The 24,909-nt window shown below is 40.4% G+C and overlaps 3 protein-coding genes and 1 pseudogene across 3 annotated transcripts; 3 read left to right on the forward strand and 1 right to left on the reverse strand.

Moving 5' to 3' along the window:
- Positions 1-24,909, forward strand: part of LOC124901865 (translation initiation factor IF-2-like) — a 451,468-nt pseudogene that overhangs the window by 203,551 nt on the left and 223,008 nt on the right.
- On the reverse strand, positions 3,730-6,606 carry DEFB105A (defensin beta 105A). Its single transcript, NM_152250.3, has 3 exons — positions 6,495-6,606; positions 6,108-6,149; positions 3,730-4,858 (listed from the first exon to the last, which is right to left on the reverse strand). The coding sequence occupies exons 1-3, from the start codon at positions 6,562-6,564 to the stop codon at positions 4,734-4,736; spliced, it is 237 nt and encodes a 78-aa protein (NP_689463.1). The 5' UTR covers positions 6,565-6,606; the 3' UTR covers positions 3,730-4,733.
- On the forward strand, positions 7,865-11,779 carry DEFB106A (defensin beta 106A). The gene is made up of 2 exons (NM_152251.4): positions 7,865-7,951; positions 11,531-11,779. Exons 1-2 carry the CDS (start codon positions 7,903-7,905, stop codon positions 11,677-11,679), a joined length of 198 nt encoding a protein of 65 aa, NP_689464.1. The 5' UTR covers positions 7,865-7,902; the 3' UTR covers positions 11,680-11,779.
- Positions 19,162-23,968, forward strand: DEFB104A (defensin beta 104A). Its single transcript, NM_080389.3, has 2 exons — positions 19,162-19,268; positions 23,760-23,968. Exons 1-2 carry the CDS (start codon positions 19,211-19,213, stop codon positions 23,918-23,920), a joined length of 219 nt encoding a protein of 72 aa, NP_525128.2. The 5' UTR covers positions 19,162-19,210; the 3' UTR covers positions 23,921-23,968.

The following is a 24,909-nucleotide window of genomic DNA, read 5'->3' on the forward strand; positions in this document are numbered from 1 at the left end:
CAATATAAATGTCTGGGGTCACAGACAAAAGAGAAGTTCACAGCAACTTCTAATGTCTTCTCCATAGACTCAGCAGGTGCTTACAAAAAAGATTAGAGTATTTCATGATGTAAGTCGGCTGAGGGGAACAGTAGCCACTGTGAGAAAGAACAAAAGCTTGCAAGAATCTTTCTCTTTTATGGAAAAGAAAGTCTTAATTTCTTAATTAAGAAACTGAGGGAAGAACAACAGTTGTTTGTACGGCACTGGTGAATGAACAATCTAAAAAAATGCAAAACAAAATATTAAAGCTAGGAGAACGAGGAGAAGGGAGCACATTAAAAAAGAAAAACAAAGAACATCCTCTACCTTTGTCAACAGAGAAGGCATACATGCCTCCTGCCTGTAGAAAGATGACAGAATAACTGCAGCAAACTTCTCATCAAAAAATATGCAAGCCAGGACAGGTGTGGCGGTTCACGCCTGTAATCCCAGCACTTTGGGAGGCCAAGGTGGGCAGATCACTTGAGCCAGGAGTTTAGTTCGAAACTAGCCTGGGCAACATAATGAGACCCCTATCTCTACAAAACATACGAAAATTAACTGGACATGGTGGCAGGCACCTGTGGTCCCAGCCACTCAGGAGGCTGAGGTGGGAGGATCACTTGAGCCCCGGAGGCAGAGGATGGGGTGAGCCGAGATCATACCACTGCACTGCAGCCTGAGCTTCAGAGTGAGACCCTGTCTGAAAAAAAAATCGAGGCAAAATAAAATAGAGTAACATCTTTACAATGTTCCAGTGGAGCCATTTGGCCCTGGGTTTTACTATGTGGGATTTTTGTTAGTGTTATTACTGTCAATTCATGCACTTTATTTGTTATAGGTCCATTTTAGACTTTCTATTTCTTCTTGAATTAGGTTTGATATGTATGCATTTCTAGGCATTTATTCATCTAGATTATCAAAATTGTTGCCATAAAATTGTTTATAGTATTCCTTAATAATATTAAAAAATACTTTTGTAAGATCTTTTGTAAAACTTCTCTTTCACTCATGATTTTAGTAATATGAGTATTCTCTTTTTTTCTTAGTCAGTCTAGTTAGAGGCTTGCCAATTTTGTTGATCATTTCAAAAAATAAATTTTTGTTGTGTTGATTTATTCTATTGTTTTCTTAGTCTCTATTTCATTTATTTCCGTGCTAATATTTATTATTTTCTTCCTTGTGCTTGCTTTGGGTTTAGTTGGCTCTTCCTTAATTTTCTTGAGATGGAAGATAATTTACTGATTTTAAATCTATCTTCTTTATAAATACAGGCATTTACAACCATACATTTTCCTGTAAGCATTGTTTTAGCTGCATCTCACAGTTTTGGTAAGTTGCTGTTGTGTTGTATATTTTAAAGTGTTTGGGGGCTCCCTTTAAAATATTTTCTACATTCCCTTATGTTTTCTGCTTTGACCCATCATTTATTCACATTTATGCTGTTTAATTTCCACATAGTTGTGACTTTCCCAAATTTCTTTCTATTATCCCATTTTGTTCAGAGAACATACTTTGTATGATTCCTATCCTTTTAAATGTATTGAGGAGCTTGTATTTAAATCTAACATACAGTCTATTCTAAAGAATATTTCATGTGAACAGAAGAAGAATGTGTATTTTGCTGTAATTGGTGCAGTGTTCCACGCTTTGAGGTCATTGTGTTACAGTGCTATTCAAATTTTGTATTTCCTTGCTAATCTTTTTTCTAGTTGTTTTGTCTATTATTAAAAGTGGTATATTAAAGTCTCCTGCTATTACTGTTGACTTCTCTATTTCTCCCTTCAATTCTGTCAATTTTCTCTTCATGTATTTTGGCACTCTGTTGTTAGGTGCATGTTTTTATACTTGTTATATTATCGTGATAGATTAACTTGCTAACATTACAAAATGCCCTTCTTCATCTTTAGTACCAATTTTGTCTTAAAGTTTGTTTTGTACACTATTGGTATAGCCACTACAGCTCTCTTTTGGTTATTGTTTGTATGGCAAATCTCTTTCCATCCTTTTACTTTCAGTCTCTTTGTTTCCATGAATCTAAAGTGTAAAGAAAGTGTTCCTGGACCAAACGGAGAGTTGGGCTGCTATTTCTCACAGCCCAATAACAAGATGCAAATAAACTCGGGAGGAAGAGAGTTTTTATTTCTGCAACCAGTTATAGGGAGAAGTCCTGGAAATTATCGCCAGACCAACTTAAAATTACAAAGTTTTCCAGAGCTTATATACCTTCCAAGCTATATGTTTATGTGTAAGTGTGCATTCATCTAAAGACATAAGTTATTAACTTCTTTTAATCTATAACTAAGGTCTGAGTCCCGAAGACCTTCCTCTGGAGCCTCAGTAAATGTACTTAATCTAAATGGGTCCAGGTGCTGGGGTTATTACCCTCACCTTGTCTCCTGCTAAATCACTGATATTTGGGGAGTTTCTTCAGACCTCCTATAAACTTGTTTAATCCTAAACGGGTCCTGTTAAGAACTCCTTCATTAGTTTGTCGTGCTTTAAGGCCCAGGAAAGGCCTAAGCAAAACTCTTAGTGGGCTTTTGTTACATTCAAGCCTTTATATCAGGGCACTGGCTTTTTAAGCTTTTAATATTTAACTTAACCCCTCAGTGGGTACTAAAGCAGTTGTTATGGAGTCTTGCGTTAGTGAGACTTGGCCTGCCATGAAAGGGAACAATTTGTGACTAGGTGAGCACCTGTGGGAGGTGTCCTCTGCAGCTGCCATCTGGATGCTACATGAGGTCATTAGTGAGGTAATATCAGGGCACAGCTACTGGTCTACCACTTTGTATGACTCTGAGACACTCACATGAATCTTTCATTAAAAGAAACTTCAACTAGGTTCCAGAGCATTTTTTTAAGATAAAGCAATGCAGTATTTGGAATGAGTAAGTAGTATTCCAGTTTCATGGTGTTCTGTAAGCTAGCAGCTGCATTTGCACTGTGGAGACCTGGGGAGGAAGACCATCTGCCAGCAGAAAATTACTGTGAACTGGACTCTTAAGACCAAATACCCCACTTCCCACTTCCCTGGGGTAATTCCTGTGTAAATGAAGGAAACACTCTAGGCTTCTTGAGGGCTGTGTTTCAAATCTCTTTTGGAAAACAGTGGATCATATGTAAATAGAGTGAATCTAAAAATTGAACCAATCAAGCATTAAAAGGGTTCCCCCAATGGATAGTTCTATAGAAAGAATTTAATATGTACAGATAAAGTGTTGGAAAAGATGACAATGCAAAGCGGGAGCAATGAGGCAACCCTACTGATAGTCACAGCAGAAATCTCCCACTGCCCTAAGGTTTGAGGAAAAATGGAAGGATTTGTGTGAGCCTGGGAGCAGCACTGGCTGGCAGAAGCTAAACTTGCGGTGGGACTGCCAGGTGAGTGCAGAAGACAGAAAAGCAGCGGCCTTGCTGAGCATGAAAAGCCACTGCTGGAAAAGAGAGGGAGTCGGGGAGAAATTCACATTGTCCTTCCTTCTTCAATCTCCCATTCTCCTAGGAGACACATTGACCAAAACTAGCCAGAAGTCAGGAAGCCTGGAAAATGTAGTTTGCAACTAATAGTTCCCATTTTACTCAGCAAAGCAGAAAAAAACAAGGAACAGATTTGAGCACAAAGAGACAAATAATAGGCCCAAATGTTAAACAAAACATTGTTTAATCTCATACGTTAAAACTAAGTAACCAAGTTCAAGTCACTGGTCATAGGGCTGGTAATTTTGGCCTTTATTTTGTGAAGCTGGATTTTATTTCACAAGGCAAAATTAGACAGTCAACCATTTATGCATATTCTGTGTTGAACATTTTAAGTTAATCTCTAATCATTTTCTTTCACAGGTAAATACACCATAAGTACTAGAATCAATGAATGACAATATTTAGACAAACCAAGAAATAATGTGAATATAAAAATAATGTATTATATTTGATAGAATTATTATTCCATTAACATAGTTAGTACATATAGATGGATACATAAAACATGACAGCAATGTGCACAGCAGTTACTGGATCCTAGCTATGGCTCTGAAGAATTAACAGCCTCTTGAGCCTCAATATTTTCAAATGTAAATGGCAGTAATAAAACCTACCTCATAAGGTAATCATGAGTCATATGAGAGAAGTATGGAAAATACTTCATAAATTGTAAGGTACTCTACATATACATAGTAGTGGTATCTGATTGAGCAGATACTAGGTACACACTCATGTCTTGATGTTTTTTAAAGGTCATCTCGCCCAGCATGGTGGCTCATGCCTATAATCCCAGCACTTTTGGAGGCCAAGGCGAGCAGATCACCTGAGGTCAGGAGATCGAGACCAGCCTTGCCAACATGGTGAAACCTCATCTCTAGTAAAAATACAAAAATTAGCCAGGCATGGCGGTATGCGCCTGTAGTCCCAGCTACTTGGGAGGCTGAAGCAGGAGAATTGCTTGAACCCGGGAGGTGGAGGTTGCAGTGAGCCAAGATCGAGCCACTGCACTCCAGCCTGGGCGACAGAGTGAGACTCCTTCTCAAAAAAAAAAAAAAAGAAAAAAAGTCATCTTTAAAAAATAAGCAATAAAACGTAACAAAGGGAGAAAGAAATGAGAATGATTCTGAGACTCACTCACTGTGTGATTTGGATAAGCCACATAACTTCTCTTGAACTTCTTTGAATATCCAGGTCTGCTTCTAAGGCCAGAAGTGTGCTGGTCTGGTTTGTCAGATCCTCTGTCTGCAGCAGAGAAAGTTCAGCCTGCAATTTCCATCGGGCTTCTCATTCTCCAAGCACTCCTTCCTGCATTTTCCCCGACCAAGCTTGCACGACTCACAGACAGCAAACTCACCTGTGCCAAGAAAGAGCTGCTGAGGGAGCTTTCCAGGAAATGTCTAGAAATGGGGAACATGTCAAAGACCACCAAAAAAAAAGGGACAGTTCGTACGTATGATTACAAAGAATATTTTCAAGAATCAGCCCAGATTTTTCAAAAATAGTTTCTGCTTTTTGCAGTAGGGAGTTGGGGAGAGTTAATTTTTATGCAACAGATCATCGCAATTCCTACTCTCCAAGTGTTTATAATCTGGCAGGGATCAAAAGTAAACCACAGACAGACAAAGAGACATACATATTACAGAACTATAAAAATACATACCTGATATGACTGTGAAGTTTACTAGACAAAAAATGGGAGGGGTATATTGTGGTTTTTTAAAGATCCTTGAAGATCAACTCTAGTTTGGGCCTAGTAGCCGGCAGGTTAAGGTCCATATTCTCATTTGTCCAGTGGCCATTCTAGAAGCACCTGACTACATTTTTTAAATCAGTTTAGGGATCAAATGGAATATTATATGTAAATATTTTCATTATAATAATACCTACCACATAGGACTGTTTTGAGGATTACATGACAAAGTCCATGTAAAGTTTTTAGCAGGATGCCTGGTACAGAGCAAACACTCAAGGACTAGTAGCAACCTTCATATTTCTCACTTTGAAATTCTGTCTAAAACCATTTCAACTTTGTCTACAATATTTCTTTTAGTTTTGTTTACAATGTCCTTTCTTTCTGTATAAGATGACTTCAAAGAAAAAGAAAAGATCTGGGGGCTATTCGTTATGAATAGCTTTTCTGCAATGGTGCTGAGTTTTCACTGAGGCAACCTCACTCTTTAATTTGAGCTTCCTTCAACTAACCTCATGCATTTGTGACATATATTATTACCAGACTTAGCAGCAGAGCTTGCAAGAGATGGGCAGGCGTGTTCACAGAGCAGTGCTAATTGGCTGGTACAAGAATAAATCTAAGAACTTGGTTTAGTGAGCACCAACAGCTAATGGGAAAAGCCACTGAGTCCAAATCTCTATGGCCAAATTACAGTCCAGTCACAAAGATATTTTTCTGTGAAATCAAAAATATCCAAATATTATACTTGGAACAAGAGAAAGAGAAGGAGATAAGTTAGTGAACTGATTTTTCAGACAATTCTATTTCTGCCACTATCTCTGTCCCCTCTTTGCCTCCAGACATCAGAGAGAGCTAACAGCGCCAGAGCTCCTAAGAGAAAAAATAATTATATACAAGAGATTTAACTTACCTGATGGAAATGGTTGGGAAAAATCAAGTCCTGCCTGGCACCCTAAATTCAAAACAAAATACATTTTGAAAATTAAAATCAACACAGGAATTAACACTGTATAAAACACTCCCAACTTCACATGTGACATAGCATAACAGGAGACAGTAGATCACAGAGTTGCAATCTTTATTCTGTTTCTCAAGGCCAGCATTCCAGGTAACCAGCAAAAACAAATTACAAAAAAAAAAAAATACACTATATGCTGTTTGCTCTTAGTAAATGTCACTGTAGGTCTAAGAAATTCCCATGACAGGTGCCATGAGAGCTTGACCATTAAGGTCAAACATGGAAGAATCAACAGGCTTTATAATCTGCCCAATCAAAATCCCATCCATTTTTACTTACCTGATGGCAGTTGAACCAAAATGAAGAACATAGCAAATAGAAAATAAAATGTCTTCCTGATCAGGGCCATCTTTTAGGGAAGACTCTTCGGAATAGAGATTGGGATTTCCTTGAGAAGACCCAAATGAGAGGCTCATTTTTATTTAAAAGTAATGGGGAGATGCTCTTGATCCGTGAAGTGAATCAATAAAACACAATTATATGCTCCATTTCCCAGGATAAAGGGATGATATCATGGATAATAACCCTTGGCATCCAGAAAGCCTTTTATTTTGGGGAGTCTAACTGGTGTAGTGGAAAGAACACCAGGCTAGAGGTTGAAAGAGCAGGGGCCATGTGAGTTTCCACCATACTAATGCAGGGGCCAGAAGATAGTGACCCCTTTCATCTCTTCCAGCTTCTGTTTTCTGGGAGAAAATAAGAACCCACTTGCAAATTCTGCCTGCCTCTAAAGGTGTTGTAAGAATCTAGTATGATTATAATGCAAAAGTGTTTTGAATATGTGGAATGCTTGGAAGGAGGCCTGGTACCATGTAAGAACTCAATAAATGTGGACTCTCACTTTTCTAGCTTTCATTTTTATTCTCTACAAGTATCACAGGGAGAAAAGGAGGGGTAGCAATCATTTTGTCAAGTTAGCTCTGAGTCCCCTTTCCTGTAAGATATCACCTCACGCACCAAAGCCATAATTACTGCATATTTTAAATTCATTAAGGACATGAATATTGGCCCAGATGGGTGGCTTATGTCTATTATCGTAGCTTTTGGGAGCCTAAGGCAGGTAGATTGCTTGAGCCCAGGTGTCTAGGGCAAGGCATGATGGTTACCAGCTCCTTGCTGCGCCAACAGTGCCATGGTACAGGTGAGCAGCATGGCAGGACCAAGCACGAAAAGCGTGCAGCATACAGCAAGATTCACATTTTTTAACAAATATATGCTTAGGTCAAGCCCTTTGCCAAGTTTACAAAGCTCAAAAAGACTGAATCTGGAATTCAGATTCCACCTCACTACGGTTCCTCAGCTCTTAACTGAAGCATTGAGATATTGTATAATTACTCCCATTTTACATATGAGTAAACCAAAGCTGTTCAGGAACACAGCCAGGATTAGAAACCAAACTACTGGACTCCAGATTTTTTTATTTTTTCTGTGTCTGCCCTACTCTGTCCTCCCTTCATCCCCACTTTCCTTCTTCAAAACTTTCCAGAATCAGAAATATGATGAGCTGTAGACTGAGTGACACCCACTGAGGTTGGGTGGGCTCTGTGCAGCAGAGCATGGAAATCCTCTCGTTTCTGCTAAGCCTCACTGATCAAGATGTTACTTGGTCTGGAGAAATGTATAAATGTGGGTGTTTGCGGCTCTTTCCTCATGGACACGGTGCTGATCTCTCAAGACCCACCCAGTCATGAGGACTTTCCTCTTTCTCTTTGCCGTGCTCTTCTTTCTGACCCCAGGTAAAATGGGCATCTTTACAGGGAAGGTGATCGGAGGTGGTGTCCCACAGACAGGGTCCCCTTCAGTGAATGCCTGGGCGTGATCAACCCATCTACTACAAGAGGTGATATTCCCCAACGCCTCTTCTGTAATTCCTTTGCATTTTACATTGTTATCTAGGAGGGGCTGTCACAGGTTTGAAAGAATAAAAGAAGGCCAGGAAAGATGCCTTTTGGCATCCCATCTCATGCTCACTAACAAAAACAAAAATTGAGAAAAAATTAAAAACAAGGATAGCAGTCTATGAACCTTTTAAAATGTAGTTATGGTAGAGATTGAGACAGGTAAGGAGAAGGGACAGGTAAGGATCTGAGCTTAGAGACACCTATGCACTCATGCCAGTCATGGCAACAGGTAAAGCAGCGTAACTTGGACTGCCATTTCTTGATCACATATCATCAAGCCAAGTACTGTGATGAGAGCTTCACATAAAATGCATCTAGTCTTCCAGTGCCAGCGCCTTTACGGAAAACTCTGTCTTACCCCTAATTTAATGGAAGTTAGAGAAAATCTTTTTGGGTTTGAAGGTCCATTTTACAAATTTTATTACAGATGCAGAAATTGTGCCTCAGATGGGCTCAGTGCTTCTCAGAGTCTTATAGATAACCAAAACAAAGCCAGGGTAGGAGCCCAACTGTCTTGCCACAGTAAGAGGCATTAAAGACACCCTTCCCATATCAAAACTCTCTTCATTTTCTCCTGCTCCTGGGAATCTCCAGTGGCTCCAATTGTATCCTCTTCAAAATTAAGGCTTAAGACCAGGCTCATGTGAGCCTCCAGAGAGCTGAAGAAAGGGATTCTCAGAGCCCACAGTAACTCCCAATTTCTGCCAGATACCAGTGATATACGATCCCAGGTATGATGCTCAACTTTTCACATCAGCTGCTCATAGCTCTGGTCTGTTTTGTGACAAGCCTGTGAGAGTAGATTCTGTGTCAAAACATGAGGATCTAGGACCCACAGTGACCTATGCCGTATTCAGGCCACTGGTTTTGATATGCACGTTCGAAACTGGCCAGAGGTATCTTTTTCAGATCACTCATACTTATTATATAATAAGTCAAAAAAAAGATGTTATATACTATAAAATTATCTGTTAGATAATACTATAATTATAAAAGTATAATTAGTTACTATAATTATTATGTAATTACAGATACTTATCTATAATTACATAATGCTTGTTATATAATTATTAGATAATCTAATAATTACCTATTAGATATACTAGAGTATAATACTATAATACAATAGTATTAGAGAAAATCTTTTTGGTTTAGTATAGTATTATAGTATAGCATAGTATATACTATAATTATTTACTGATGTTACAGTATGGTATTGTACTAGTATTATATACTATATAGTATTGTACTAGTATATATTATATATATATATATACATATTTTTTTTTTTTTTTTGAGATAGAGTCTCACTCTGTTCCCCGGGCTGGAGTGCAGTTTCACAATCTCAGCTCACTGCAACCTCTGCCACCGGGGTTCATGCGATTCTCCTGCCTCAGCCTCCTGAGTAGCTGGGATTACAGGCATGTGCCACCTTGCCTGGCTAATTTTTTGTATTTTTAGTAGAGACGGGGTTTCACCGTGTTGGTCAGCCTGGTCTCGAACTCCTGACCTCGTGATCCACCCTCCTCAGCCTCCCAAAGTGCTGGGATTATAGGTGTGAGACACTGCACCTGGCCAGATACTATATTATACTAGTATATTATTACTAGTAGTATTATATACTAGTATGTAATATAGTATATATACTAGTATAATACTCTAGTATATAGTATAGTATACATACTAGTATAATACTCTAGTATATAGCATAGTATACATACTAGTATAATACTCTAGTATATAGTATAGTGTATATACTAGTATAATACACAAGTATATAGTATAGTGTATATACTAGTATAATACACTAGTATATAGTATAGTGTATATACTAATATATACACTAGTATACAGTATAGTGTATATACTAGTATAATACTCTAGCATATAGTATAGTGTATATACTAGTATAATACACTAGTATATAGTATAGTGTATATACTAGTATAATACACTAGTATATAGTATAGTGTATATACTAGTATAATACACTAATATATAGTATAGTGTATATACTATTATAATACTCTAGTATATAGTATATATACTAGTATAATACTCTAGTATATAGTATAGTATATATACTGGTATGATAATATAGTATATATACTATATTATTACTAGTAGTATTATATACTAGTACATAGTATAGTGTACATACTAGTATAATACACTAGTATATAGTATAGTATACTAGTATAATACACTGGTATATAGTATATATACTACTATAACACACTAGTATATAGTATAGTATATATACTAGTATAATACTATAGTATACACTATTATACCAGTATATACTATAATACTAGTATTTTTATAGTATATACTAAGCTATACTATGATACTATACTAAACCAAAAAGATTTTATCTGAATACCACGCTATAGTCTATAGTATAGTATTATATTAGTATCTGCCTTACAGTAGGGCAGAGAGAACATAGACCCCTGCCAGTGAGAGCCAGAGTTCATCGAGCTTTGAAATAGTGGAGTATTTTCACTTATGAACTGATGTGCTGATCCTGGATAATCATTAGTGCATATGCTGGCACTAATCCACCTGGCTGTAAGTTTTATGTAGATTTGAATTAGGCACCTTTATATGTTGACATTAAATGTATATACATTATAGTATAGACATTAAATGCAATCTCTGTACATCTGATGCCTTCATTATATATACACAAATTGGGCAGCTCTAAAATGTTGATCCTGATAAGACGTGCTGTCTGTCCTTAACTTGAAGCAGGCTGCTCTTGGGACTGCTACTGATAAAGCCCTAAGGTGGGAACTGGAATTCTCCGCAAAATGAACTGAGAAAATCTTAGAAAAACATTCCCAACATGCTGCACCCTCCTTCTCTAAAGCACAAGTTTTCCGCAGTCGTTGCTTTGGTGAATATGGAGGAGAAATCAGGCTGAGCCTTCCAAGCAAGTTTCTATCTACCACAGTAAACTCATTCTCTTTTTATATCTTTATCCCTTCCTTTGCTCTGGTCTGGAGCTATCTCCTCAGTCTCAGCTCTTGCTCTACTCTCACCAAGTAGCAGCCTCTGAGAGTGCACTAGGAAAATTAGCAGCCTCTGGGAGTGTTTATGGGAACAAGTTGATAATTATCCCCAACAGATTTCGATTAAAGAACCATAGCTTAGGGACGTTTCCCAAAGCTCCTACACAGCTTGGTCTCAAATGCTGGAAGACAAATGTATTCTTTCCGGTATTTCACCCTGTGTGACTATGAGACTGAAATATCAGATAAAAATCAGGTCCCCTACCATCTCATTTACCGGTAGGATATGGCACTATGACAGCTTGTGAAAAAATCTTCACCAAGTAGTCATACAACTGTATCTGGTAAACATACATGTCTGAAAAGGGAATTAATCCAAATGGCTCCTTCCCTCGTGTAGCCAAGAATGCATTTTTTGATGAGAAATGCAACAAACTTAAAGGGACATGCAAGAACAATTGCGGGAAAAATGAAGAACTTATTGCTCTCTGCCAGAAGTCTCTGAAATGCTGTCGGACCATCCAGCCATGTGGGAGCATTATAGATTAATGCAGAAGATTTAGGTTTCCAGAGAAGCATACATAACCTAGCTTCTTTTTACTCTTGCCTCTGCTGTAGGCAGACACTTTAATAAAAATAAATGACTGTCTTTGCTCAGTTTGTCAAGTGTTTCATTTAGAAAGGAGAACAACACTGCCTGACCTTGATGCTCCCTCCATCCCGGTTTATTTTTCTATCATTCTGGAGTAGATAAATTGTCCCAAAGCCATCTGATATTTTTCTTAAAAGAGGACTAGAAGAGACTAGAAATCAACAAATCTCTAGCTTGTGCTCAGTCTAGTAAGTTGGCGCTTACTAACCTATTGACATGAAAGAAGTAAACAAAAGAAAATAAAGAAAAGAGAGAGGGAGGTGGAAAGAAGATGAATAGGTAGAGAAATGAGCACACTTTTTTTTAATACAAAACAAAATTTTATTCTTTTTTTCTTTTTCTTTTTATTATACTTTAAGTTCTAGGGTACATGTGCACAATGTGCAGGTTTGTTACATATGTACACATGTGCCATGTTGGTGTGCTGCACCCATTAACTCATCATTTACATTAGGTATATCTCCTAATGCTATCCCTCCCCCCTCCCCCCACCCCACAACAGGCCCCGGTGTGTGATGTTCCCCTTCCTGTGTCCAAGTGTTCTCATTGTTCAATTCCCACCTATGAGTGAGAACATGTGGTGTTTGGTTTTTTGTCCTTGAAACTGGAAACCATCATTCTCATCAAACTATCTCAAGAGAACACTTTTTAAAAATTTTTACCATCATGCCATATGCCCACATAAATGAGCATACATTTACATGAATAGCTACATGAACGACAAATTGATGGATAGGCGGTCCATTTATCAAAGACTTTTATGTGTCACACACACACCTGTCTAAATTAATCATCATGACCCCATGTCTTTAATTGGGGCTAGTTAAATATTTTCTATAGACTTGTTCTCTACACGTAAGTCTGAGATAAAATTTGCTGACAGGCAAGGGAGTCATAATTACCTCTATGAGTCTCAGTAACTCCAGTGATTTAGACCCTCTTCCCCAAATCACTGCCTACGATTTTCCTAGGAACTGGCTGACAGTTTACCTTCTGATTCTAAGCCTCAAAATTACTGTTATGGTGGGAATGTGTTCTTCCAAAATTAATGCTGAAGCCTAATCCCCACTCTGGTGATTAACAGATGAGGCCTTTGAGGAGGTGATTAAGCCTCAAGGGCCCTGCCCTCATGAATGGAATTAGCACCCTTATGAAAGAGGTTGAAAGAAACTGCCTTGCTCCTTCCACCATGGGAGGACACAGCGTTTGTCTCTTCTGCCATGTGAAGGCTGAGCAACAAGGTGCTATCTTGAAAGCACAAACTGGGTCCTCAGGATATAGTAAATATTTTGAGGTCTTCCAGCCCCTAAAACTGTAAGTAATAAATTTCTATTGTTTATAAATCACCCAGCATAAGATATTTTATTATAGCAGCATGAATGGACTGAGACAATTACTTAGTTTAAGTAAGAATTTCCTATCATGTTTCCAGTGCTCAAGAGTTAGTTTTGGTTTCCTGCTGGCTCAGAAATCTTGCCTTACCTCCCCTTTAATTTTTCAAAGTCGATAGATTTAATTCTATTAGAATCAATAACCCTTTCACGAAAAGGATGTTTTAGTTACACTTTCTAGTTTGAGGTAATTGTAGATTCCTCTACAGTTCCAAAAATAATAATAATAATGCAGAGAGATACCCAGATCTTTTACTCTATTTTCCTCAATAGTAACATCTTTGTAAAACCATAGTGCAATATCACAACCAGGTTATTGACACTGATGCATAACATTTCCATTATCAGGAGGACTTCTCATGTTACCCTTTCAGAGCCACTCTCTCTTCCCTCACACCTCCACCTCCGTCTTAACCCCTGTATAAGTGATTTATTCTCCATTTCTACAATTTTGTCCTTTTAGGAATGCCATATAAATAGAATGTATATATCCTTATTAGACTGGCTTTTTTCAGTCAGCATAACTTTCTGGGGATTCATCCAGGTTGTTGCATTTATCAATAGCTCTTTCCTTCTTATTGTTGGGCAGTATTCCAGGATACGGATGAACCACAGTTTGTTTAATCACTCCCTCATCGTAGGCCATCTCTCTCTCTCTCTCTCTCTCTCTCTCTCTCTCCCTCCCTCCCTCTTTTCCCCCACTTCATTGCCTCCTCTTCTCCTCTCTACCTCTCCTTCTCTTTCTCTTTTGCATAGGGATATCTAATTGTTCAAGCACCATTTGTTGAGAAGACTATTCTTCCTCCATTATATTACCTTTGCTTCTTTGATAGAGAGGAGTTGCTTTGATCTTTTCTGAGCTATCCATTCTGTTCTGTTTCTCTGTTTGATCTATTTATTTATTGCTTCACCACTCCCACACTGCCTTCATCATTGCAGTTTTTTAGTGAGTCTTGATATAAGGTAGTGTAAGTTCACTGTATTAACCCATTTTCACATTGCTATAAATAAATATCCGAGATGGGGTAATTTATGAAGAAAAAGAGGTTTAATGGACTTACAGTTCCACACAGTTGGGGAGGTCTCACCATCATGACTCAAGGCAAAGGAGGAGCAAGGTATGTCTTACATGGTGACAGGAAAGACAGCGTGTGCAGGGGAACTGACCTTTATAAAACCATCAGATCTTGTGAGACTTACTCATTTTCATGAGAAAAGCACAGAAAAGAAACACCTCATGATTCATTTACTTCTCACCATGTCCCTCCCATGACTCATGGGGATTATGGGAGCAAGAACCCAAGATGAGATTTAGATGGGGACAGAAACCCTATCATCCACCAACCTTGTTCTTTCCGGTATTGTATTGACGATCCTAGGTCTTTTGAATCAGTATGGAAATGTCAACAACATATTTTGCTAAAAGTTTGACTGGGATTATATTTAATCTATAGGTCAAGTTGTAAATATTGACATCTTAACGTTAAATTCTCTATTATATGAACACAGAATATTTCTCTTGTTAAAATAATTAAATGAGAGGCCATTAGACTGCGGGAGCTTCAGTGCACTCGGTTTCTACATAAGCAAACTAAAACCCAACTCGGTTTGAATGGTAAAAGAAAACTTTAACCAATCAGAAACCACCAACTAACCTCTAACAAGGGAATGGAATGATTCGAATAAGGCTTATACTCCACCTTAACCAATTAGATGTTTAATTTGCCTTTCTTCCATTTTCACCCTATAAAAGCCTTTTCCTCGTGCCTCTTTGCGTGAGCCCCAAAAGACTTGTGATTTGGAGCCTGCCCGATTCTTAAATTGATATCTGCTCAAAAGAAAACTCTAAGATTTTTATGTGCCTAAGTTTATTTTTTAATACTTCTGTTGTCAGAAGAGGGACCCAAAGAAGCCCTGATAATGGTTCCTGGGACAATGAGTAGCCAGATGTAGTTACCAGCTGAGCCGGTTTTACTCACCGCTTTCTCTCTGTGTCTGGATCCAGCAGAAACTGGACTGGGTCCAACAGAAGGTCTTAAGAAGGTAGGGTTTAGGGAAGACAAAGAATCATGAGTTCATCTGTATCCAGGTAGTCTGGAACCTCTCCATCTGGGACTCTAGCTACGTTCATGTATAAAAATTATGGACCCAGAACCTGTGTTTTTCTAAATAAATGTGTAAACTTTACTAAAGACAACTTAGGATTACACTGGTCACAGTGAAGAAATTTTAACCTAAACAGTTATTCATCTATAAGCTACATTGAAAGAGAAGTGATCTTAAATGCCTCAAAAAAAAAAATGAGATATGTTTTTAATAGGCATGCAGAAGCTTCTAAAAGACTAAGCAAATCAAAACTTGCCTTTCTTAAAGACTCTTTACAAAAGGCAAATTAAAAGCTTAAGCACTTAATCAGTGATGATAAAAAATTGTACATTGACTCACTCAACTCTCAATGCTCCTTCTTTTCCTCCTGTCTCTCTTCTTCCTCTGCCTAATTACTCTGATTCCACTACCCTCTTCACTCAGCTGCCTTTCTACTCTGAAGATGAGAAGCAAGTTAGGAAAATGCCTTCTAAAGTTAGTTCCTCAGATCAACTGTGTCTGCCTTCTTTAATTACCTTTATGTCTTGGTCAAAATCCGAACTGACAGAAATAGTGAAAGACTTCCCTAACCCAAAGGAAAACCCCCAGGAATTTGCTGAGGAATTTAGAATCCTCATTTAAACATACAATCCATGACTTCCTGATCTTTGTCAATTTATCCACATGATACTGGGACCTGGTCAAGCCTGCAAATGGAGGCGATGGTTGAATGGGACTAACCTGAGGATGATATTAAGGATCTTATGTCTCAGACAGCTGCAAGGGATGAACAAAAAAGAGGCAGGGGAAAAGGAAGCATTCTATAATCTTATAAGTAAATCTCATCTTTACCTGAGCCTGTGTGTCCCTGCACTGTGACTGTCACAAGAACTTTTTTTTTTTTAAATCTCTGTCACCAGGCTGGAGTACAGTGGCATGATCTTGGCTCACTTCAACCTCCTCCTCCCAGGTTCAGTGACTCTTCTGCCTCAGCCTCCCAAGTAGCTGGGACTACAGGTGTGTACCACCACACCTGGCTAATTTTTGTACTTTTTAAGTAGAGATGGGGTTTCACCATATTGGGCAGGCTGGTCTTGAACTTCTGACCTGGTGATCTGCCCACCTTGGCCTCCCAGAGTGCTGGGGTTACAAGCATGAGCCACCGTGCCCGGCTCTCAAGAAATTCTTAGCTACCCCCATCCCTCAAGTGAGACAGGAAGGTCAGATGGGGCTGGAATAGGGAAACGTCTTCCCCTCCAGGTGGGATATGGCTCGAGTAAAATTGTTTTTCCTGCAGAGGAGGAGGCTTTGGTTATGGGGAATCCTCTGGACATGTTTCACAATATCACTCTTCCCTTCTCCTTTCAGGGCAATGAGGGCTTCCATTCTGGCTCTTCACCATGATAACCTTGGGGGCTTCCTGGATTTAAAACCCAGGAAAGCAGGGGTTGAGAAGGGAGAGCCTTTGACCATGGTCTCTAGCAGTTTTTCACTCTCCTAAATGTCCACGTTCAGCCTCCAGCAAGTTGTCGAAATCACCGTAAGTGTTCCTGCTAGTTCATGGTTTCAGAGCTTCCATTCCAGGTTAGCTCATCTCAGCTGTGACTCCAGATTTCCACGCAATGGGTTTGCCCGGAGCCCTCAGTTCCCTAATGGGTCCAAGAAAAGTCATTGATTTTTCCATTTATTTGGCTTTTTTTTTTCTTTTTTAAAGGAGTAAAGTAGTTACTTTCAGTCTTTTTACTTGTAGCGACCGAAACCAGAACTCTGAAATACTTTATAAGGACTCAGCAAATAAAGCTTTTATTATTTTTTTCTCCTAAGAAGATATAGGATTTCTTTTGAAGTTTGGTTATTCAGTCCCTGTATATGAATTACTTTTTTTTTTTTTTTGAAGAATTGCTGAATATTTATTATCATCAGAATTTTTCAGTTTTCTTCAGAATCCTGGTCACATAGATGACCTTGAATATTGGCTGATGTTTTTCCCTTGAAGCTCATCATCAAAAATTACTAAAGCCTGACATGTGGCAGGCTAGGAGGGTCCCATGGATCCTGCACATTTGTGCTTGCTGTGTGTCTGCTGTGAGGAGAGTATCCGACGGCCTCTACGTGCTGCACGTTTGTAACCTGCGGCAGGATTCCCATGGCTACCACTCTTGCCCTGGCTGCTTCCAGGCAGTGAATGAGCACAATGTGGACTAGAGCTGGGCCATGTCTGCTGGTGTAGGACAGTCTTTGCCCTGGGGTTCCCCACTGGCAATGCTGAAATTTTCTGCACTGTAGTCTGAGGCTCCCCCGACTCCAAACCTTTTCACAGGTGTTAATTGACATCATGTTCTGAAGACTTTCCCTACTCAATCTTGCTCCCTCTCCCCTTCATCTTTTTGTTTTGAATTTTTATTTTATTTTATTTTTTTCAGAGACAAGGTTTTGCTGTATTGCCTACTACACTGGAGTGCAGTAGTGCCATCATAGCTTACTGCAACCTCGAACTTCCGGGCTCAAGAGACCCCCCTGCCTCAGCCTCCCAAGTAGCTGGGACTACAGGGACACACCACCATCCCTGGCTAATTTTCTTTTTGTGTAGAGTCGGGGTCTCTCTATGCCGTCCATGATGGACTCAAACCCCTGAGCTCACATGATCCTCCTCCCTCGCTCAGCCTCCCCAAGTGCTGAGATTTACAGGTGTGAGCCACTGCGCCTGGCTCCCCTTTATCTTTCACAGGCATTTCCCAATAAATTTATTTCCTTTCTAATTCCTGTTGATAAATGCTTCATGGAGCACCCAAACTGGCATAGTTTATGATTTCTGATGTTCTATTCTATTTCGTTACTGTGAAAGGAGACCTGGTTTTCCATCACATTCTCCCCTAAGTGAGAACTCTGGGGAAGACACACTGACTGCTAGATTTTGCTTAGGATGTGCAAGCAACGTATGTCTGTCAGGCTTTGTCTAATCTGTGTTCTAGAATAAGGGGAGCTTATTCGAGAATGTCAACTTTCAAGATTGGACGTTTTTACTTTCTCTAAAGTACTTCATTTTAGAGAAATGAAGTATTTTTTTTTTCTTAAAATAAAATTATCTGGTGTTTTCCCTAAGGGCAAATGCCAGGAGCATATGCTCTATATGTTTTGCCTCGGGTGGGGTTGGGGTTAAATCCAGGGAGCATACACCCCGGGTTGAGGGCCAGGCGTATGCTCTCTGGAAGGTTATGTTTTATTTGAAGCCATTGTTAGAAATACAGCATTCTCATGAATTGTCTCCTTTTAACCTCTCTTCTCATTCTTGTCCTCCTTTTCACCTAAGCCCTAAGTGAGCCTGATGCTCTGTGGTTACAATCCCACCCTTGGACAATGCCCGCCATCAAGTATTCCTTGTTGTCACTTGTCATCCTCATCCTACACTCTTTCTATCACAGAAATGTCCTGGGACCTTTCACGCATTTATGACCTCCCCACGCTCCATGCCATTCTTCTCCTTGACATTGTATGTTTGTTTCAATGTTTACTTCAGAGAGGTCTTGGGGGCTATGGACTTCAATTCCATTAGCCACATCACAATTTTCAACAAGAATCTCCTGACTGAAATGTACTGAAATGGAAGAGAAAGTCCTCTCACCAGAATTGAGGAATGTCAAGGCTGGAAGGTATCTTAGAGATCATCTAATCCAGTTCTTGCTTCAGAAACGATTCAGGGAAGCAAGTGAAGTGACTTGGACTTTACCTATGGTAATACTCTCTCCCCACCCTCAACACTGCCCAGCTGGCATTTCTGTAGCCCCAACACCTCCCCCACACTGTGCCTTGGTGAGTGTTCACCAAGGAACGCTGCATTTTGATAAGCCTCAGTAATCAAGAGCAGCCTCTGCCCATAAATACACCTGCCCTGCTCCTGCCTGGGGTGATTCCCTCCGACTTGCGTCTGCTTCTCGCCAGCAGCCCCAGCATTATGCAGAGACTTGTGCTGCTATTAGCCATTTCTCTTCTACTCTATCAAGATCTTCCAGGTAAAAAGGGACTCTCAGCTGGAAATATACACAGTTGCTGGGGATGACAGGGGGAGAAGAAAAACATTTGATTTAGAAAATAAATCCTGAAGGATGGAGTAACCTTCTTCAATCTCAGCCTTTTTTCTCTTTGCTTTCATTGGGTCCATTAGTAAAATGCAGTATGTGGCAGTCCTTGTATGCACCTTACAGCCACGAGGCTTACTAGCTCAAGGAGGAAAAAAGAAACGTAGGGATCAGGAGTCCTAGATGTCCTTGGCACCCTGGCCACACACGGTAACAATTCCTCATGGAATCCTCAGCAATGAGGACTCACTAGCCATGCTTGTTCCATTGCAGGGCAACAGCAATTATTCATTGTTGATTTTGTAGAATAAGATGCCTTCCCCCATCCTCCTCCTTCTGAACAGCTTTACTCTGCACAGAAAAGGGCGCCTACTCATCCTCCTAAATTTTGCAACTTTTCATATCAAGTCAGATGATTAGGGTTAAAGGGGATGCAGTGATTTCAGTAGGCAAGAACGTAATTTACTGACAACACAAATAGCAGGTGCCTTTGAACTCTGCTCAGGAAATTTTAGACTGAGATGTCAGCAATCTTCTGACTCCTACGTTAATCTATGTCCCCAGAAGCATGTATTTCTTAATATATTTGCAATGGATATGAGAGAGCACCTAATCTAATTCCCTTCTTTTACAAGCTGAGCAGCATTCTCTATGGTACAGTGAGAGAAAATAAGATTTTTAGAGTTGCTTAACAAGTCTAGCAGTGCTGGGACGAAACCAATTGTTTTGACTCGTAGAAGCCATCGGATCTTCTCTTCCAAGCTGCTCAGTCAATTTTATGGGGCTTTGACAGACACCCAGCACCCATCTTTTTGCCCTTCCGGGCTGTGCCTCCACTGTGATTCAGATGGGTTAATGATTTTTTTTCAGAGGGTACCTGTTTAGGTTAACTCTTCCTTTTTCTTTCTTCCCGTGTCATTTCCCAAAGACACTTCTGTGAAATTCTGCTATGGGCATGTTCCAGGTCTGTTAAAATATGATAGCAATTTATCAAAGAACAGGTTTTCTTCAACCTTTGATCCCAAGACAAAGAACTTGGGATGGAAAGCCTGGGTCAGGGATCCCTCCAGATCCCGAAGAATGCACCGCAGAGCTGGCTGCCATTATCCACACTTGGCTGCAGAGGGCTGGGTCAGACTGTCCTCTGCAGTTGAATTCTGAGAAAGACCATTAGCAGGAAGAGGATTAGGGAGGGAAGTGGCAGAAGTGGGTGAGGGTGAATGACATGCGCTGCCTGCCTCTTCTCCTGCCACCCCTGCTTTGGGTAAGTTTGGCTGTCACACACTGTCAGCCCCTCAGATACCCACAGGGACTGGGGATGGGTGCTGTCAACCAAAAATAAAATTCTAAGCCCCCTCCCCAACCATCTAAATGGACTCCCTCCTCAGCCAGGGCTCTTAAAATTTAATCTGAAAGACTGCTTCAGGCCATGAAAGGAAGTGGGGGTTGGACATGCCTCATTACACTTTCCATCATGAACATCAACACAGACTTTAAGTGTGATAAGAAACATTTTACAGCCTGTTCTCTCTGAAGCCTGCTAGCTAAAAGCATCAACTGCATGATACAACTTTGGCCTCCACAATACAACCTCTTGTCGCAACCCAAACATTCCTGTCTATTGATCCCAGGTCTTTAGACAAACTCAATCAATTGTCAACCAGAAAATGTTTAAATTTACCTATAGCCTGGAAGGCCACCTGCCACACACTCCCACTGCACCCCCACAGGCCCCCCGCCACCCCCACTTTGAATAGTCCCACCTTTCTGGACCAAACCAATGTAAATCAGCCAGGTGTAGCGGCTCACACCTGTAATCTCAGCATTTTGGGAGGCTGAGGTCTGCAGATCACTTGAGGTCAGGAGTTCGAGACTGGCCTGGCCAACACGGTGAAACCTCGTCTCTACTAAAAATACAAAAATTAGCTGGGTGTGGTGGTGCATGTCTGTAATTCCAGCTGCTCAGGAGGCGGAGGCAGGAGAATCGCTTGAACCCAAGAGGTGGAGGTTGCAGTGAGCTGAGATCGTGCCATTGCACTCTACCCTAGGCGACAGAGCAAGACTCTGTCTCAAAAAAAACCAAAAAAACAAACAAAAAAAAAAACAAAGCAAATCTTACACGTCTTGATTGATGTATTATGTCTCCCTAAAATGTATAAAACCAAGCAAGCTGTATCACAACCACCTTGGGCACATGTCCTCAGGACCTCCTGAGGTTGTGTCACAGGTGTGTCCTCAACCTTGACAAAATAAACTTTCTACATTAACTAAGACCTGAGACCTGCCTAAGATTTTCTGGGTCTGTAGAGCAGAGGAGGAAAATTGCTTATGCAAGAAAGAAACTAGTGTAGTGTAGTCTACCCTGGAATGTATTTATTGCTTAGGAAATGTTTATTACTCAGCCTTAGTGTATGGACTGCATTCTCCCTTTTGCATTCTGTTTACTGAGACTGTAAGACATACCAACTAGGTTTTTCTTCCAGCTTTGACACATAAGTTGCTGTGTGACGTCAGATTAGTCACTTTCCTTCTCTGAGCCTTCATTCCCATCTCTAAATAGATGGCCTGTGAGGGCTTGTTTGAAACTGACAGTCTAACATTTTAAAGGTTGTGTTCTCTTCCTAGTCTATTCTTCTTCTCCCCTAACGCTAAGCTTCGTTTTCCCTGAGCAAGCATGCTGTCCTCTTTTTCCTCCTCTAACTCCAGGTTGTAAAGCGACCTGCCACAGATATGTCAGAAGGCACATATCTGCTACTCAACCTCCACATACTCCCTCAGCATGATACACACTGCAGCCCACCTCACTCCTTTCTTCATTGCCTTGTACTGTGACCACAAGGGCTTGCTTTTGAATGAAGCCTACAGCAAAACAGTCTTTCCTCATCACCCGCTGTGGGGCCATTGCAAATATTAACCCCTACAATATCCTATCCAGCACATGAATTGGTCAAACTGCCTTTTAGTCCTCACCTACATCCTGGACAAAGAACCTTGATACCTAAGCATCAGAAACAGGAGGCTTCTCTTTACCAGAACAAATGAAAGACATAAAACCCTGGTGCGAGGATTAGCAGCCCGTTTCTGCTTTGTAGAAAAGGAACAGATGCAACAGGGGAGAAGGACTTAAGGCTAAGATGAAATTAGGACTCTTGGGCCCCGACCTCTGCAAAGAGGTCCATTTGCAGCCCTGACTCTCCTCTCCCCAGGGTTCTTCTGACACCCTCTCCCAAGCCTGGCTCCTGCTGAGTTTGCTAGAGAACCTCTAGCAAAGCTCTCTCCAGCGAGACTCTCTCGGTCCACCTTACGCTGTCCTCCCTACCATCAGCCTTGCTTCTGGGTTTTCCTGATATCTCTGTAAGATCCTATCAGTGTGGCATGTGAGATAATGAGTTTTACAAAGCTGCTTTCAGCCTCAGAGAGCGCACCCTGAGACTGAGAAGCTAAATCCATGTCTCCTGAAAACTGCTCTGGGCCAACGGCCGAACAATCAGGATTCTGCTCCTTTCTAGTTTCCTCCTCTCTACTTGCAACCACTCTAGTTTATTCTGGTCTAGTCTATCCAATCATTTACTCACCACGTCCTTATTGAGAACAGGCTATGTTCCTGGTAGCAGTTACACAATGGTAAGCAACATAAACATGGGCCTCATTGTCAGGGAGCTCATAGTTCGAATGAGAATAGCAAATAACAAAATATACATACATATATACATATCTATATCTATGTCTATGTTTGTATGTATCTCTCTCTATATATGTGTATATATATATACCTATATAGATACATAGATATATAACTACAACTTGCGATAGGTGATATAAAAGAATAACAAATGCATAGGGAGAAAAAATACTTTTGGGGCATTTGAATACACGAAGAGGACAGAGAAAGATTTGCCCAATATTGGGAACTTAAGGTTGAGACATAAAAGTTCAAAGAATTCACTTATGGGAAGGAAGAAAAACCTTCCAGGCAGAGGGGACAGTGCACGTGAAGGTACCAGGATAGCAAAGAGTAAGCTCACACGGAACAGAAGGGAAGCCGGCGAGAGTTTCATGGACAGAGTGAGGGCCACAGTGGAAAAGCATGAGTCTGAAAAAGTGGCCCAAGATCAGATCACGATTGCTTTGGAGACCAAGTAAGGGGCTTGGAGAGATTTAATAAAGAAAACAATAGTAAACTTGTAGGGATTTTGAAAATAAGTGTGACATGGAATGATGTACATTTTCAAATAAAATCCATGCTGGTTGGGAATCAGAAGGTCAAGTCAATCATCTAGGAAAGTGGAGGAGGATGGGGGTCCAGGAAAACCTCTACCACCATGCACTAGCATTCTCTATCCCCCTCCGAAAACACCTTCTACCAAAGCCTTGCCTTTTGGTGCCAGTAAGCAATTAATGACAGTGCCATATCCTGTTATCTAGTGAGAAGCGAATTTGAATTGGACAGAATATGTGGTTATGGGACTGCCCGTTGCCGGAAGAAATGTCGCAGCCAAGAATACAGAATTGGAAGATGTCCCAACACCTATGCATGCTGTTTGAGAAAATGGGATGAGAGCTTACTGAATCGTACAAAACCCTGAAACGCAGTAGTGCTGGTCCCTAGAGTCGCTGGAAGTAGGACCTCAGTAGCTTTCCTTCCTGCGGCCTAGCAGCAAGGGCATCCCCATTGCAACCACGGGTTCAGTTATCAAAGAAGGTTTGCTGAGCTTCCACTCAATGCAAAGCCAATATAGGAGATTGAAGAAGAATACAGGCTGGAAAGCCGCCTCTGGTTGTGATAATGGAGAATAACAATGGGAGTTAAGCATGAGTTTCAACACTTTATAAGTTGAACAAAAAATATGTCTACCTAATCAGCTATAAACCTAAGAAAAACATCATTTTTATCCTGATAATATTGGTTTTCTTTTCCGATCGAAAGTTTTGCTCAGGAGTTATATATATCATGTGTTAATTAAAATGTAAAGTAAATCAATGTTAAGTGTGCCTTGTTTAGAATACACTATATTTCAAAACATAGACCTCTGAGGAGAAAAACAAAAGAGGTGATGTGTGATGACAAGCTTGGGAACCCATTGGAGCTTAAGGGGTTGATCAAGTGGGCGTCTGTGGAGGGTCCCATCCAGCAGAGGGCAGCAGAGAGCAGCCCTGCGCTGAGCTGTGGATTCTTGATCCTGAAAACCTGTAAAGAAAGGTGAGTGATGAAACATTTGACCTGCCTGCCTTTCCTGTCCAAACCAAATTTTAAGGTAGTCAAAAGCTTCTCTCTTCGAAAGCAGCCCAGCTAATAAATGAGGAGTGTCGCCATTTTGCAAACACATAGGGAAACAGGGATCTAGCCAAGGAATGTCAACAGCGATTAAAATAAGCCAGAAAGACAACCTGCTACCCTGTGCTTCCTAATAGAAGGACATAATGCCACGTACGAGCTTCTAGTCATGGTAAGCAGCATCATCCTCACCTTGTCAGGGTGGAAACTGAGGCTGCATTGTGCCCTTTCTACCAAAACAGTGTAACGGCCCTTCGCGTAGGCATCGCCCAGCCTCAATATGTGGTTAGTCTTGTTTCA

The sequence above is a fragment of the Homo sapiens genome, chromosome 8 (genome assembly GCF_000001405.40).
Source record: "Homo sapiens chromosome 8, GRCh38.p14 Primary Assembly".
NCBI classification, from domain to species: domain Eukaryota; kingdom Metazoa; phylum Chordata; class Mammalia; order Primates; family Hominidae; genus Homo; species Homo sapiens.